Here is a 16,816-nt window from a genome sequence, read left to right as displayed (position 1 = left end):
ACAGGGTCTTGCTCGTTCACCCAGGCTGGAACGCAGTAGTGCAAGTCATGGCTCACTGCAGTCTCGACCTCTTGGGTTCAAGCAATCCTCCCACCTCAGACTCCCAAGTAGCTGGGACTTCAGGTGCATAACACCATGCCTGGCCAATTTTTGTATTTTTTGTAGAGATGGGGTTTCACCATGTTGCCCAGGCTAGTCTCAAACTCCTGGGCTCAAGTGATCCGCCTGCCTTGGCCTCCCAAAGTGCTGGGATTATAGGCATGAGCCACTATGCCTGGCCAATTTTTTTACAAAAGCATACTACACCTGTTGTTTTTCAACCTGCTCTTGTCACTTAAATGATTTAATCATTCCTCTTCCTGATATGCTCTCAGGTTTGTCACAAACACCTTTGGTTTTGCCACCATCCTGTCTTCCTGGGACCACCACCTTCTTATGGAAACTGCTTTTTCCCCCACACCAACCACGTTCCTTTACAGACTCTGCCTCTCTAGTCTAACTTGACTGGTCCCAAAATGAGCAAGAGAGCCAGCTGGGCCCACATATGAGAGTTTGGGGTGTGAGAAGTCCAGGGCCAGTGCATGCCAGGCAACTGAAGCTATGGATTATGAGGCTCTGGAGCTGCCAGTAGTCACACTTCCTGTCTAGCAGAAGACGCCAGTCTGCAGGGAGAGAACCTGTTCCTATCAGAACTGTAGAAAAAAGCTAACTTTTCTTTCCATTATGTTCAATGCTCCAACACTCTCCACCTATGATAATTCAAGGTGGGTTTATGTCACTTGAAACCAAGAGTCCTGAATCATTTAAAAATGATGCCAGGAGTAAAGAGTTGAAAGTAACCAAGTCTAAATGCGGGAAGGGCTGACATGAATTGGGATGGGAGGCCATAAGAAATATCCCATCCAGGGTGGAGAAATTCCCAAGTTCTGTTACAAAGTACTGAACCAATTGGTTCAACAAGACTGAAGGTTTAGCAGACCATTCTGAGGGAAGTATCTGATTATTGAGGATCACTGTCTACTTTTTGCAACATTCCATACATTTTGAAGGGAGGCCTCTTCTGCTTTTGGTCAGCAACCTGAGTCCTCTCAAGCTTACAAAGGCTGAATTTTCTGCTGCAAGCTGAAGTCAGTAGTAGTTAGGGAAAGAGTGGGAGTATGACAATGGATAGAAATATCTGAGAGGGGCCGGGCATGGTGGCTCACGCCTGTAATCCCAGCACTTTGGGAGGCGGAGGAGGGCAGATCACCTGAGATCAGGAGTTTGAGACCAGCCTGATCAACATGGCAAAACCCCATCTCTACTAAAAATTCAAAATTAGCTGGGCATGATTGCACATGCCTGTCATCCCAGCTCCTTGGGAGGCTGAGGTGGAAGAATCGCTTGAACCCAGGAGGCAGAGGTTGCAGTGAGCAGAGATCGCACCATTACACTCCAGCCTGGGCAACAAGAGCAAAACTCTGTCTCAAAAATAAATAAATAAATAAATAAATAAATAAATAAATAAATAAATAAATAAATAAATAAAAATATCTGAGAGGAGCCAGGGCCCTTGTGTTACATATTTATGTATGTTACGATGTTTGAACATCTTTTAAAAAACCTTTCTAGCTGGGAAGACTGCCCCTGGGGGGGTGGCGAGAGGATAGTTAATTCTTAGAGCCAGCAAAGGGCCCAGCCAGGAGTACACTTCTGACATGCGAACTAACCAATTCAGAGCCACACCTCCTCTATCTGGCCCAACACCCGAAGAGGCAAAATTCCTCTGCTTTCATCATCCCAGGGCCAGGTACAGTCAACTAGGGACCATTCCTATAGCTTAGGGCCCCTGAGATTATTCAAACTAGCCAACCCTAAAGTGTTCACGCTGCCCTGCCTTGACTTTTCCAAGGAAACCCCCATCATGGCTTTACCTTAATGCTTTCCCCTTGCTCCTGTCTTCTGCCTCCTGACTGCCCTGGTGTCTTTCCCCTGTGGACCTGCATGGTGTGCCATGTCTCCTGCCTCTAGGACTTGTGACCACGATAAACTTTGTCTTCCTGAGCCTCTCCTGTGTCTCCTTCTTGTGGCTGCACCTAACAGACTATCTCATAAAAGAACATAAAACAGCCCTTAGCAATGGTGACGAGAGGGCCCTGAACCTTCCAAGGCTCCAGCAGAAGTCCTTAAACTGAGTTCTAGAAGGGTGGCAGACGCTCTTAAACAGCTCTTGAAGGCAATGGCTTCCAGTTAGAAATGGAAACCTTGAGAGCCGAGTAGGTTTTAATGACCAGATATCCTCGAGTTATTTGGAGTTGTCCCTTAGATTCAGAGTCCACATCTTTCTTTCTTTTTTTTTGGAGACAGAGTCTCACTCTGTCACCCAGGCTGGAGTGCAGCGGCATGATCTCGGCTCACTGCAAGCTCTGCCTCCCGGGTTCATAACCATTCTCCTGCCTCAGCCTCCTGAGTAGCTGGGACTACAGGCGCCCGCCACCACGCCCAGCTAATTTTTTTTTTGTATTTTTAGTAAAGATAGGGTTTCACTGTCTTAGCCAGGATGGTCTCAATCTCCTGACCTCGTGATCCGCCCGCTTCGGCCTCCCAAAGTGCTGGGATTACAGGTGTGAGCCACTGCGCCCGGCCCAGAGTCCACATCTTTAAAATGAGAACATTGGATAAGACGATTGCCAAAGTGTCTTGGTTTTGATGTTCTGTTTCTGGGGGTTAATTATAGTACAAACATTACCATTTTCTTAAAACCACTAAGAATTCTCATTCTAAGAACTACATTTAAGAGAGAGAGTGAGAGAGATTAAATGCTTGCTTTTGAGTCTGTTCAATTCACTGTGATCTTAGACCATGAACTCAATTTCCTTAACCTGCAAAACGAGGTTTTGAATGCCTGTCTTCACAGGGCAGAGAGGGGAAAAGTGAAAGCCTTTTGATTTCTCTTAAGGGAAGAAAAGACGCCGTGGAAATTCTAAGCAGGATTAGGACAAAGCTCTCTGAATACAAAGGTTAGCTCCAAAGTGACTTTATCTTTGGTTTCTTAGCCCCAGTGATGCCATTTCTGACCCCAATCACTATTCCCTATAGTTTTCAAATCCCTGTAAAGAACACATTTCCTAAGGGACACAGAATGGCCTTGGGTAAAATGCCAGTGCAGGCTGTCTCTGCATTTCTTATTTTTCCACTTCATTTTAGAAAAGTCTATTCAACCTGCCCAGCACTGACACCCTATATCCATGGCTTCCACAAACCCTGCCCCACCCTTTGCCTTCCCTAAAGGTCTTTGCCACAGCTAAAATTCTAAAATATTGACCCATTGTGGTAGATTGGATTCATCCATTCTCTCATGTGTGTCATTATATCAAGACTCCAAAAAGATGACTTACTACTGGTGGTACTGTATATATTCTGAAAAGGAAGGTTGCAAAGACATATTGAGGATGTTGGTCATACCAGGTGGTTCTCAAAACACACACCCTCTGGGCTCCATACACATGGATGGAATCAGGGTTAGGGTCAACTGGCACCTTCTCCATGCAGCCTGACCTGTCTGCCCTTACCAGGCATAGACAGTGACTCTTTTGTTTGTGTTCCCTCAGTACTTTATAAGAATAATCATTATCTCACTGTATAGATATTATTTGTCAAAATTTATATGTCCTTGACTGGGATGAAATTTGGGAGGGGGCAGGGATTTTGACTTATTAATCTTCCTATTGTGTGTCTTGTACAGGGAGGGAATTCATTTTTATGGAATGAATTCTGTGAATTGCTACATTCTGTTCTCCTCTTGAATGGGAAGTACTCTGAGGGAAAATAACCTCAGAAGCCATGCAGCATAGAGGCAAGCCCTCATCTTGAACTAGGCCATGGCTGGCAAAGGCAACGCTCTGGTGCTACCCTCTCCCTTGCCCACATCAGGCATTGTTGCTCAGTCATGACCCCTTCTCTCACGACATCTGAGCCAGGCCTGAGAGCCCTTCTCAACACAGTCTTCTAGGCAGCCACCCCTGCTGAGTGAGCTGGCACACAAGAGAAGCTGATTTGGCATATTTAGCAGCCCAAAGGTAGATAAGATACCGAAGGACAAGAGGACACATGGCCTATGTATGCTCCTCATGTCACCAATGAAAGATGCAAAAGGAGGTTCAGATAGAGCCTAGATTGTTCCTTTAACATTCAAGAAGCCACCTTAAAACAACGCCAAAAGAACCAGTGGACTCAATAAGTAAACAGCTGATCCATCTGGTTGGTCATGTAGCACTGAGGCTGCCTACATTTAAACTGGTTATTATTGCTTTAAATGAGATGTTCTTTCCTGAGATCACCCAGAGTTGGGATGCTGAGCTGTGTGACTGCAGTAAGATAAATCTCTGTACGATTTGAGACATGTAAGAGGCAGTATGGTGCAGTGGATAAGAGCACAGACCCCAAAGCACTGTTCCTAACACACAGGGCTCTTGTAAGGATTTTTAATATGTTAATACGGTTAGAATAGCATCTGGCACATTAAGCATCATCTACTGTTACTATACGTGGCCTGGCTAAAGTCTACCAAACAACTAGTAAAATCCCCACAAACAAATAAGGCTTGGTCTATGTTGCCACTCTTGTTTGTAATTCAATGGTTTCATTATGAACGAATGGCTATTGCCTCGACAAAAGGCTATCAGAACAGGCCTGAGGTAGAATTGTGCCAGTATATTTCCTTTTCCCCACAAAGCCCATTACTCTGGCTGTTATCAGACAAGAAGAGCTAGGCAGCCCATTACTTCCCTGTTGGCTCTGGCTTCCAGGAACCATGAAGTTACAATTCATGTTGAATTTTGGAAGCTCTCAGAGTTTAAGTTTCCTAACATAATCACTTAAAAAAAAAAAAACACTTGGCTCCTGTTTTTATTCTCATTCTAAAGACGTCCAGAATTAATTATTTCTATGATGTTGAGTATAGCTATCTTAAATCTGTTTTTGAAATCAGGCAGAATGTACATAAATATAAAAACATTTGTCAGATTCTTGGTGCTGAATGTCAGCCAAGACATATGTCTGAGATGATACATTATATTTTTATGTATTACACATACCATAGCCATCTATGAATCAGGGCAAATCTCATGTAGCATTCTGCAGAGATATTAGAAAAGACTTACTGTGTTGACATTTCACCATAATGACTGATGTTTTTGCTGTTTTTTTTTTTTTTTTAAAGTGACTCCCCCTCCTCACTTTAGGATTATTGCTCCTGTGTCAGAAAGTGAAGCTGAAATGAGAGAAGTGATCGCCTAGGCCAGCAGTCCCAAACTTTTCTGACACCAGGGACCAGTCTTGAGGAAGACAATTTTTCCATAGATGGGGGGGTGATGAATGAAACTGTCCTACCTCAGATCATCAGGTGTTAGAATCTCATAAGCTGCGGGCAACCCAGATCCCTCGCATGAACAGTTCACAATTGTGTTCCCGCCCCTATGAGAATCTAATGCTCCGCTGATCTGACAGGAGGCAGAGCACAGGCGTTAATGCTCGCTTGCCCCGCTCACCTACAGCTGCGCGATCGGGTTCCTAACAGGCCTCGGACCAGTACTGGTCCATGGCCTGGGGGTTGGGGACCCCTCAACTAGGCCAAAGACAGAGAATTATCTTGTTGAAACAAGTTCTCTTTTTTTATCCTGTGCGTTTATTTTCATAGAATTACAGAGCTCATTTGCTTCAGTTCTCCAATTTTTTAGAGGGAACTGAGTTCCAGCATGGAGAAGTAACTAGCTATGGTCACACAATGTGTTAATAGCTGAGCTGGCTGTAAGTAAAACCCAAATCTAGGCCAGGCGCAGTGGCTCATGCCTGTAATCCCGGCACTTTGGGATGCCGAGGCGGGCGGATCACGAGGTCAGGAGATTGAGACCATCCTGGCTAACACGGTGAAACCCAGTCTCTACTAAAAATACAAAAAATTAGCCGGGCGTGGTGGTGGGCGCCTGTAGTCCCAGCTACTCAGGAGGCTGAGGCAGGAGAATGGCGTGAACCCAGGAGGCGGAGCTTGCAGTGAGCGGAGATGGTGCCGCTGCACTCCATCCTGGGCAACACAGCAAGACCCCATCAAAACAAAACAAAACAAAAAAACCCAAGTCTGACTTCTAAGCCTGTGTTCCACTTAAAACACCAAGATGCCCCTCTAGACCACTGAGATAGGAAAAAAATGAAGAAATTGGCTTTGAGTAGCCAATTTAAATTTGAAACTCTTGAAATGTTTTGTTGTAGCAAAACAGAGGGCTGTTTTGAAAACAAGACACTAGTTCCATAAAAATCAATGTATTTTAGAAAATATTTCTGCTGCAAAATTTCATTTACTATTAAGGCATCTGAGGTGAGCTCATTCACTTAGAATCATGGGCCAATTCCAAAAACTAGGAAATCAAATCATTCATTCAACCAATATATACTTACCGGTTACTTCCTCCATACCAGGCAATGCACTAGGTCCGGTCCTGAGGGTATATTATCTAAGACACAGTCCTTGCCCTTCAAGGAGCTCAAGGTCTAGGGAAAATATTCAACACAAGCGCTACCACTGCACAGTCTCTTAGGTGTTCATGACAGACATAACCAATGTATTAATTTATTTATTAACTGGCCTCAGCAATCCTTCCCAACACAACCCTCCAAACACCCATAAGCGAGGGGCACACAAATTGAAATTGATCTGTCACCCCTTAACTAGTATAGTCACTTTGTGCCTACTAAATGCTATGCAATTTGAAGTTCTTAATGTATGTTCCGGAAATGTTTCCCCCTGATCCGGAGGCAAAGAATGCAAATTCTTTCACACATTTAGTGTTTATTGAACTCCTGGGTACAGAACAATTTTTGTAGGTACTGTAAAAACCCTGGATAATGGCTCATGAAAGATCAATTATGCCCCAAGAAGAGACTCCAGTTATCTTTCACTTGAAATTCCCATTTCAGATAAGGAAGCACAGCCTCTATCTTGTGTGTGTCATTACTCAAAGTTGCCATCTGCTGCTGGGGAATCAAAAGCCAGAGTTGCCACACCACTCAGTTCACAGCAGCTGCTTCTCCTCCCCAGTGATTTACCGGCAGTCCCACCTAGTACAGATCTTCCCGCCGCAAGAGTTTGGGAAACAATACTTCTAACCTCATCCCAAGGTAGAACCAAAGACAGCTGCTAGACTCCATTTTATAAACCTGGCATCTTTCCGCTCATTTGGGTAAGCTGTTTTCTTAGGGTCTGATCAAGGGAGAAAAGGCAAGAAGACATAATTTCCTTTTAACGGCTTCTACTGTGTCCTGCCCCATTTTCATCCTTGGTGATACATGAGTAAAAACCCTGCAAAGCCTTGCAGAGGTGCATTATTACTCCACAACTGACTGTTCAGCAGGAGGACAGTGTGTATTGTTGTCTGGAGGAGACATGCTGGAAGCTGATCTCCTCCCTTGGAATGGTCACACCTGAGAGGTGCTGTATACCAACTACTTACACATCCAGTAGCCTCCAATACTGGGGCCTCAGAGAGGACAAGCACTTTCAGAAAAGGGTACACATACAGTGTGAACGCGAAAAAATGTGACACAGTTTAGGGTTAAAGTAGAAAGAGAGGAAAAAAACTTCACAAGTGTCTACTTCTTTCCGTCACATTTTTGAGTCCAAACAGTAATTGTGGCTTTTGTTAGACACAGTGGTCGGTAGTGGGGGGAGTAGAAAGAAATAAGGCTTCTTTTCAGCTCTCAAGGGTTTATATTTCCTAGGGGAGGCAAGGTGTATTAGTGTTAAGCGAAACACCATGGGTTTAAGTATCAGAATATATCATATTGCCAAAAGAATAGAACAAAAAAGTTACGACACAATACAGCAATTCCACTCCTAGGCATATACCCAAAACAACAAAAACGTGTACTTCATACAACAACTTGTACACGAATGTTCACAGCAGCATAATTCATAACAGCAAAAAAGTGGAAACAATCCAGATGCCTACCAACTGATGAATCCATAAACAATATGTGGCAGATCCTACAATGGAATATGACTTGGCCTTAAAAAGGAATGAAGTTCTGATAATGCTACAACATGCATGAACCATGAAAGCATGTTAAGTGGAAGATGCCAGTCACAAGAGCCCATATATTACAGGATTCCATTTATATGAGATGTTCAGAACACGCAAATCCGAAGAGACGAAAGATTAGTCATCGCTCAGGGTTAGGGGGCCAGAGGGTGGTGTGAGGGGAACTGAGAGATGACTGCTCTTTAGCAGGGTTTCCTTTGGGGGTGATGAAATATTCTAAACAGACAATGACGGTTACACAACTCTGAATATTAAAAAAAATTATTGAACTGTATATTTTTGAAGAGTGAGTTGTAGGGCATATGAATTACATCTAAATAAAGCTACTACAACAAAACAAGAATATAGACAATGCCATCGGGGTTCAAAGAAGGGATACAGAATTTCTGGCTTAGATGGTTTGAAAGAACATAAGACAGGTTAGGTATTTGAGGTAAGTTTTGAGAAGTAATTAACCATCTGTGGGGTTGATGAGTAGGGAAGGGTGTGAGCCCAAGGTCAGAGGTGCTCTGGGACAGTGAGTAAATCAGCTTGATTAAGGTGGGATCCATAACTGTAGAACTAAAGATATTAGGCTGAAGATGTAGTTGTGGCCAGCTCGGGCTAACTCTGAGGGGTTAAGACAGCCCCGGTCTGGGCAGAATCCATTCAGCCTTACAAGTGCTCCTGGTTTTCAGGCCAACAAGGAACAATACATGGACAAGCTCACGATCAGTTGTTCTCACATCACTTTTAGGAAAAATGGATGTCACCGGAAGAAGGAATTGTACACAGGGATGGCTTTTATACAAAATGAGTATGCTGGAGGCCAGAATAGGCTCAGATGCCCTACTCTGAAGGAGGTATGAGTGGACCACCAAATGTGGACCAGCAAAAGCAGAACAGGTGCACTGGGATGTCCAGGAATCACCTGCAGAAACTGACTACTCTAAACCACATTATTCTAGAATTGTCATCATTCTGGGTGGCAAGTGCTAGTCTTACTGGGTAAGGACATGGAATAGGTTCTGTGAGAAATTTTAGGACTTTACTACTGTAGTTAAGTTCTACTTAAAATCAATAACTTGCTTCATGAAAAGGCTGCAAAAAATCAACAAGGCATTCTACACTGCTTTAGTTTCTAGGCCCAGTAAATTCCAGTTCCTCATATGTAAAAGAATATTTAGGCATACCTTACTTTGTATAATGTGTGACTCTATCTGTATAGTAATTGTTGTTAAACTCCTTCATTAGAATTTATATGTAAATAACTGTACTCGAGAGAAATAAAGCTGAACTTTTATAAATCAGTAAGTCAGGCTATCTTTCCATATGTTATGCTATCTAGTTTTGATAATATTTTAAAAACCCTCAAAAATAGAGCTTCTGGGAGGCAGGGTTTGAGTTTGTCCTCTCTATAGTAGTGCTATCCTATAGACCTTTCTGTAATGATGGAAGTGTTCTATATCTGTATCATCCAATATGGTAGCCATTAACCTCATTAGCATTTGATGAACATCTGTTTAACTCAATGAGAATCTATTCAGTAAACACACACTGAGCTTCCTTCTACCTGCCAGGCATTCTGCTAGATGTTAGGTAGATTGAAACGCTGCCCCTGAACAAGTCAGAACTTGTGGTTGCAAGGGACAGAAATCTCAACCTTTATTTACTCAAGCTAAAAGGGAAATGTGGCCTCATATGCCCAGAAAGACCGGGATAATGGTACCTTCAGGGAAGCCTGGTTCTGGGCTTAGAGAACAATACCATGACCATCCTCTTGCTCTCTCAGCCCAGCCAGGCTCAGCTCTCTTCCATGTGTGGTCTCCATACTCAAACTGGCTCTCCACTCACAATCACTAGAAGGCTGCCCCAGCCCAGACTCATGCCGTCAAATTCCAAATTCTAATCGCAGCCTCTTAGCCAAAGTTTCATCATACCTCATTGGTTAAGATTGGGTCATGTGCCCATTTCTGACCCAAGCATTTTGGCCAGGGAAACACGATGTGCTGATTGCCTGGGGTCCCAACTACCTTGCCCCAACCATGGGCCAAGGGCGGAGTCAACTCCACCAGAAAAACATGGGATGAGAGTGAGACCCTGGGCTTCTCTGGGTAAAAATCAAGGTACCCATTAGAGTACATTTTCCTAGGCAGAAAAACCAGCAGATACCCAGTCTAGTTTCTATCTTAAAGAGCTCAGTGTCTCTCTAGGGAAGCCTTAATTAAAATGCTGGTCAGACCTGCTAGCCAGACAGAAGAAAAGACTATCTAAAAAGAAAAGCTCAGTTTAGCAAGATTGAGGTTTGAAGTGGCAGTCACATTTATTTACACGGAATTTCCTCTGATGTCTGCTTTTTCCTAGATAATTCTCATAAAACCCTTGTGAGGAAAGGTAACAACTACGGTATCCAGAAACCTTTAAGATGGAGCAGTCAGCTGACCAGGGCACACTGTTGGTGGCTTTCCATGCCTGCTTCAGGCTCCAGATGTCCCCCCCACCCCTTGCACTCCCCCATCACTGAGGGTTTGCTCAGGCCTTAGAAGTCCTACATGTGTGGATGCAGGCAGACGCAGGATGGCCCACCCAGGGAAGGGACACACAATTGCCAATTCACACAATGCAATGTGAATTGTCTGTTTTCATAAGGGCTACTCCAAGAGAGATTATTTGTGGGAAGGATGACTCATAAGAGAGCTAAATGATGTCGCCCCACATAGAAGACAAAGAGCTTGGAACATCACTGAGATGAGAAAAATTAGCCAAAACAGCTGCAGCACTTTAGGGTCTTTTAAATAGCTTCCTCCCGCCTACTTCTCCACCCTTTTCTAGCTGTTCTCTCTCACTCGTTACATCCTGACGAAGGGTGTGCTATTGTTGGCTTGCAGGGACAGCCACGGCGGGAAATAATCTTCTTAGCAAGCATATCCTTTTATCCCTCTGAGTTTTCTAGTATTATCTTTCATGAAGATGGCTCTGGATTACCCTGAGAATTACTCTGAAACTACTTGGCTTGCTTCTAGGTGGAAAAAAAGTTACTAAAGCTTGGGGACAGGCCTTTCCACACTTTCAGGACATTCAGTGCTCAGACCACATGGCAAGGCCCACGCCCCCCGTCTGTTCTCCACCTGGGGAACCCAGAGAACTCTCAGCCCCCTCAACATTGAACTGGACATTCCCTCTTTTTACTGTACAATCTTCCAATTTGGGTGTGCCTCTCTAAAGGCGTGGTGGACAGAGCTGTAGATTCTCCAGGCTTGGTAAGAAAGGAAGGACTGTCTGCTTCCAATACCCTTTCCGGGTTTTAACAGATTGCTCAGGTCAGCAGTAATTGGGCCCAATGGACTGCTACTGTGCTCGCTACAGCCCACGGAATCGTGCACTTCCAGCAGATAGGAACTGGCACACAATAGGTGCTTAGTGAACACTGGTGAAATGTGAAATATTGCTGGTAACATGGAGGTGTTACTTTGTGTTTAAAAAAATACTAAAAAGAATAGGTCTTAACACTAATATCTGCAATAATTATCTCCTATCAAGAAAAGTGCCATCCCTTCTACTTTACTCTCTAACCCTCAGTTCCCCAATCCTAACCAGTCTTCAAGCCTGTGGTGACTCAACTTTAAAAATGGCCTTCATTATGGATCTCAGGCCTGGGTGAATAAACCATGTTAACTGGTTTTCCATTCCTCCAGGGCTAAGAACTCCTTGGTCTTTTCCCTACCACGCTGTTTGCTGAAGTGCCTAGAGGACCTTTTTATGGGTTTTACTTTCTTGTTCATTTTTAAAGTAACAGCTTTATTGAGATATAATTCACGTAGCATGAATTCACCAATTTAACAGTTCAATGGCTTTTAATATGTTCACAGCTGTGTAAACCATCACCACTATCTAATTCCAGAACATTTCCTTTTTTTTTTTTTTTTTTTTTTTTGAGACAGGTTCTCGCTCTGTCGCCCAGACTGGGGTGTAGTGGCGTGATCATGGCTCACTGCAACCTCCACCTCCTGGGTTCAAGTGATTCTCCTGCCTCAGCCTCCCAAGTAGCTGGGATTACAGGCATGTGCCACCATGCCCAGCTAGTTTTTGTATTTTTAGTACAGACAGGGTTTCACTGTGTTGGCCAGGCTGGTCTTGAATGCCTGACCTCAGGGTAATCTGCCTGCCTCAGCCTCTCAAAGTACTGGGATTACAGATGTGAGGCACCACACCTGGCTCCAGAACATTCTCATTATCCCAAAAAGAAGCCCAGTACCCATTAGTAGTCTCTCCCTATTTCCCTCCCACAACCCCCCAACCCCCCAAGTCCCTGGTGACCATGAATCTGTTTTTATGTTTCTATGGATTGTCTATTCTGAACACTTCACAAAAATAGAATCTCATTTAAGAGATATGTATATGTGTGTGTGTGTGTGTCTGTGTGTGTGTGTGTCTGTGTGTGTGTGTGTATGTAAAGGCGTATATATATATAGAGAGAGAGATAGAGAGAGACAGGGCAGCCTGGGGTTTTTTTAATTTGTTTTTTTTTTTTTTGAGACTATAAACATATATATACACGTAATATTTTCTATGGTTGCCAATTCTTATGCTAGATGTTAGCATTACAAATTCGTATAAAATCTGTGTCCGCCTTCATAGTCCAACAACAAACGTTTGCTGAGTGTAGAACTCCCAGGAGTTCTCTCATGGACACAACAGCCACACTCACCCTCACATTAGCTGGCAGAGGCCCTTTATACCAGTGATACGCTTGGGCCAAGGGCCCCTGGGTTGAAAATCATTAGGTAGACACCATCCAGTGCCCTGTCTCATGTGCTGAACAGGGCTAGTAATGCCGACTTTCACTTTGGGAGGCCAAGTCGGGTGGATCACTTGAGGCCAGGAGGTCAGGACCAGCTAGCCAACATGGTAAAACCCTGTCTCTACTAAAAATACAAAAATTAGCTGGGCATGGTGGCATATGCCTATAGTGCCAGCTACTCAGGAGGCTGAGGCATGAGAATCACTTGTACCCAGGAGGCCGAGGTTTCAGTGAGCCAAGATCATGCCACTACACTCCAGCCTGGGTGACAGAGTGATATAGATCTCAAAAAAAAAAAAAAAAAAGTGTCAACCTTTACTTCTATTTTATCAAGTTCTTGTTCCAGCCTGTCCTTTTCAAAAGATACCCTCCTTGGTAAAGATTCCAAAGTTTTGGGTTTTCTTTAAATGTATGCATCCAATGTCTTTTTCATTTCATTAAGGTCAAATAAATATTTGTCCTGGGTTTCCAATAAGGTATTTGAGATTTTCCTGTGCCATAATGACTGTATTTGGTACAGGCAAGGCAATATACTAAGGTCTCTCTACAGATCTTGAAAATCAGATCAGCCTTGGAGGATGAAATTAGTAACAACTAATACACCCTGGAGGACACCAGCCCTTTGGAAGGCATTCATTGGAAGAGACTAGAAAAGCAGTTGAGGTTGGGAGTTTCTCATTTCAGGCAAAGTGACAAGGGAGTGGTATCAGAAAATACGATCTTAACTAAGAAAGCTAGAACCTATATCACTCTAGAAGACTGTTCACAAACGGTAGCAGGGCCCATGTGCAGCTTGGAAAGAGGAAGCTTAATGTGCAAAAATTTAATATCCCTGCAACTCTCTGGAAATTGGCAAGATGGTCCCTCAGAAGAGCAGATCTGTGTGGTGAGTGAGATATCACAGCTCCATGAGGTGAACACCAAACCTTCCAATCATCAGTTGTCTCCCATGTACTTATGGAGAATGGTAGACAAAACTCACTGAACTGCTTCATTTGTACATTGATCTCTTGTGACCTTGCTTTGTGGGAGTTAGTCCCAGAGAATCTTTATAAACTGGCAAGATTTTCTGACCTAAAGAGGTAGGATCTGTGGAAAATGATGACCTACCAAAGTACAAATCTAGAGAACTGAGGTTTGGAGAACATGAAAACCATGGTCAAACACGTGAAGGCCTGCCACTGGGAAGAGGAATTCAACTAGCAATACACAGGCCCAACTAATATGTAAGAAAGACACTACAAAGTAGTAGTTAAGAACACAGGCTCTGGAGCCAAACGACTTGGCTCTAACACTTACTGGCTCCATGACCTTGAACACTTAGGTTCCATGTGCCTTAATTTCTCCATCTGTTAAATAAAGTGATTGTGAAGATTTAATGAGATAATCCAAATAAATGCTTAGTACAATGTATGGAACACAGCAAGTTCTCAAGAGACTAGCCATTACATCATTATTATCCAAAGAAGAAACAGACCACCCTGTAAGATTTGGAAGGGAGCTCCCCCAGGACTCCTCCCACCCCCTGCCAGGGGTACAGAGAGACTAGTTTATTGAGGGCCAAACACAAAACTTGATGCTGTTGAATTTACTTCAACTCCAGGGCTTCCCTGCCCCTTAAACTCTTATAGACAACTCAAAATGAAAACGTGTTCTCAGCAGTTAATGCGTTTTCCATCTACAACCGCTTTTTTGTCCTATCATTCAACTAATATATATTTTTCCAAGTACTATGGCAAAGCGCCTGTTAGTGTTTGAGGGCACAAAGGGGGAAAGGTGTGGCCCTTGTCCTCCAGAAGCTTTGCATCTAACTGGGACAACGGGATTAGAAAACCACATAGTTCTCTGGTGATCCAAATACACACGTTAGATTTATGCCAAGCGTTCATCTGATGCTTGATTTAGCGAGCCATAACCCAAGGGAAGGGTCGGGAAAATCATTCTCTCTAGAATCACTCCATTGTATGGAACATGAGAAGCTTCTTTGTATACTAACTAAAACCAATCATACTCTCTCTCACCCTCTCAGTCTCAATCTCAATCTCTCTCTCCTTTTCATTCCCTTAAAAGTACAGCCACCAAGGGTAGTGAAGACTCTGGGGCCTTACAGGCCCCAAATCTCAGGGTTTTTTGTTGTTGTTGGTTTAAGAGATGGGGTCTTGTTCCATCACCCAGGCTGGAGTGCAGTGGCAATCATAGCTCACTGCAGCCTCAAACTTCTGGACTCAAGCAATCCTCCCACCCCAGCCTCCTGAATAGCTGGGACTACAGGCATGAGCCATCATGCCCAGCTAATAGGCTCATATTTTGGCCCACCTAGCTTATTAGTTAGCAGATGGTGAAGGCAGAGACAGTGGCCTCTGCATTACAAGCTCACGCTGCATTCCTTCACAGGATGTTTGAAGGCTTGTCTGTTATTTATTTGTAATTACTGCTTTAGCACTCATCTCCCTCCCATTTGTAAGTTCAATGAAGGGAAGGATGATGTGCTTTGTTCATCATGTCTTACAGTTAACCCTCAATACAGACTTTGTGTGACATTTTTACCCTAATTCCAGGTTTCTTTTAGGTTCCACAGAGTCTGGTTGCTACAGTTTAAGTATATTACTCTGGTGTAAAATGTCAGGCAGGGGAGAGAGACCCCCAGGGCCTGCCTTGGATTCTGTGGACAAACATCCAGGGACAGAAAACACTAGGAGGCTCCATTCATATTGGAACAGCGACCCCCTTACCCACCCCACTGCCCCGTTTACTGATGCCTCTGTTGCCTCAAGAAATTCATAGCACCTTCGGGCAGGGGAACAACAGTGTGGTGTTTATTGAAATCTACATCTGGCAGCAATTTGTTCAACAACAACCAGCTTTGCCTCCATCATTCTCTTCAGTCAAATAATCCACAGGGGCCCATGATACCCCACAACTGCTCATTTGTGCAAGGCCTGTATTGTGTTGGTTTATGTTCCTGATTACAGATTTGGTTTTATCAACAAGTTTCAGCACGGCAAGTAAGTTTTTAGACTATGGAGGAGACTAAAGGCACATGTCCTGAAGCAGAGATGCTGTCACTGAGCCTGGCCATCTGGGCTGAGAGATGAAGCCTCATGCTGACCTCAGGGGCTCCAGCTCCTGAGTCCACCCTGGGTGAGCAGAAGCAGCCAGAGAGAGCACTCCCCTTCCCCGCCCCAAGAGGTGGCCTCAGGAGAGCATGGAGGAGCCTGGAAGGAGGAAAAGCCTAGAATGAGGCTTCTGTGTAGCAAGGAGAAAGGAGGAGGCACTGTGCTCCAATCTCAGAGAAAGTTCTTTGTTTGGAGGTGGTGGTAAGGAAGACTGTGCAGCTAATTTTTTCAAAGCCTCAGTGAATAAAGACTTCTTTTCTGGTATCTGTGGTTAGGTGAGAAGATGGGGGTAAATCCAGAAAGCAGAGTGAGTCAAGCTTGGGGACAAATCTGGGGACTGGAATTTCATGACTTTCACTCAACTCCTTAATAATGAATTGCTGATAGAAAAGCAGCATTGTTTGGAAGGGACAGGAACAGACACAGGAATAGAACTAAGAGGAGACTGAACTTACAATGGACTTCTATCATATATGCCCAACACCCATCCATCTGCATCAGTTTGTTGAGGAGGACCATCCCCCATCACTCCAACCGTGTAGTTCTGAGGGAGGCTGCCAATCAGTATGACCTGCCCCTGGCCCAGGCTGGCCAATCATGGCAGCCCTTCCCTTTCTACTGCCAGCTGTCCAGAGATGGCATGTGACCCAGGCCTGGCCAATCACAGTCCTTATCTGGGATTTTCTTTTTGGAGCCACTAGGAAAGATTTCTTAATGTAAGAATGAGATTTTGGAACTGCCCGAGTCCATGTTTCTTGCTATATGGGGAAGAAAAGAACTTGTTGGTAGTGAGAGAGAATAAAGCCAACAAAGAACAGAGCTGATGAACACTAAGATGGTCTTGACAC

General features: G+C 44.0%; 1 protein-coding gene across 34 annotated transcripts in view; it reads right to left on the bottom strand.

The window, feature by feature from the left end:
- The window catches only part of ATG7 (autophagy related 7), a 303,957-nt gene that overhangs the window by 111,984 nt on the left and 175,157 nt on the right, over window positions 1–16,816 (bottom strand). The window contains exon 19 of one of the 34 annotated variants that reach the window (XM_047447293.1): window positions 1,509–14,201. The exons of the other annotated variants lie outside the window; for them this stretch is intronic. Coding sequence (XP_047303249.1) covers window positions 14,148–14,201 — 54 coding nt within the window. The 3' untranslated portion in view covers window positions 1,509–14,147. Of the gene's footprint in view, window positions 1–1,508; window positions 14,202–16,816 lie in introns of those variants that run through there. 34 annotated transcript variants of the gene reach the window in all.

This window comes from Homo sapiens, chromosome 3 (genome assembly GCF_000001405.40).
Source record: "Homo sapiens chromosome 3, GRCh38.p14 Primary Assembly".
Classification (NCBI taxonomy): Eukaryota; Metazoa; Chordata; class Mammalia; order Primates; family Hominidae; genus Homo; species Homo sapiens.
Note: the sequence above shows the minus strand (reverse complement) of the source record. Positions and strands in the feature narration are given on the sequence as shown.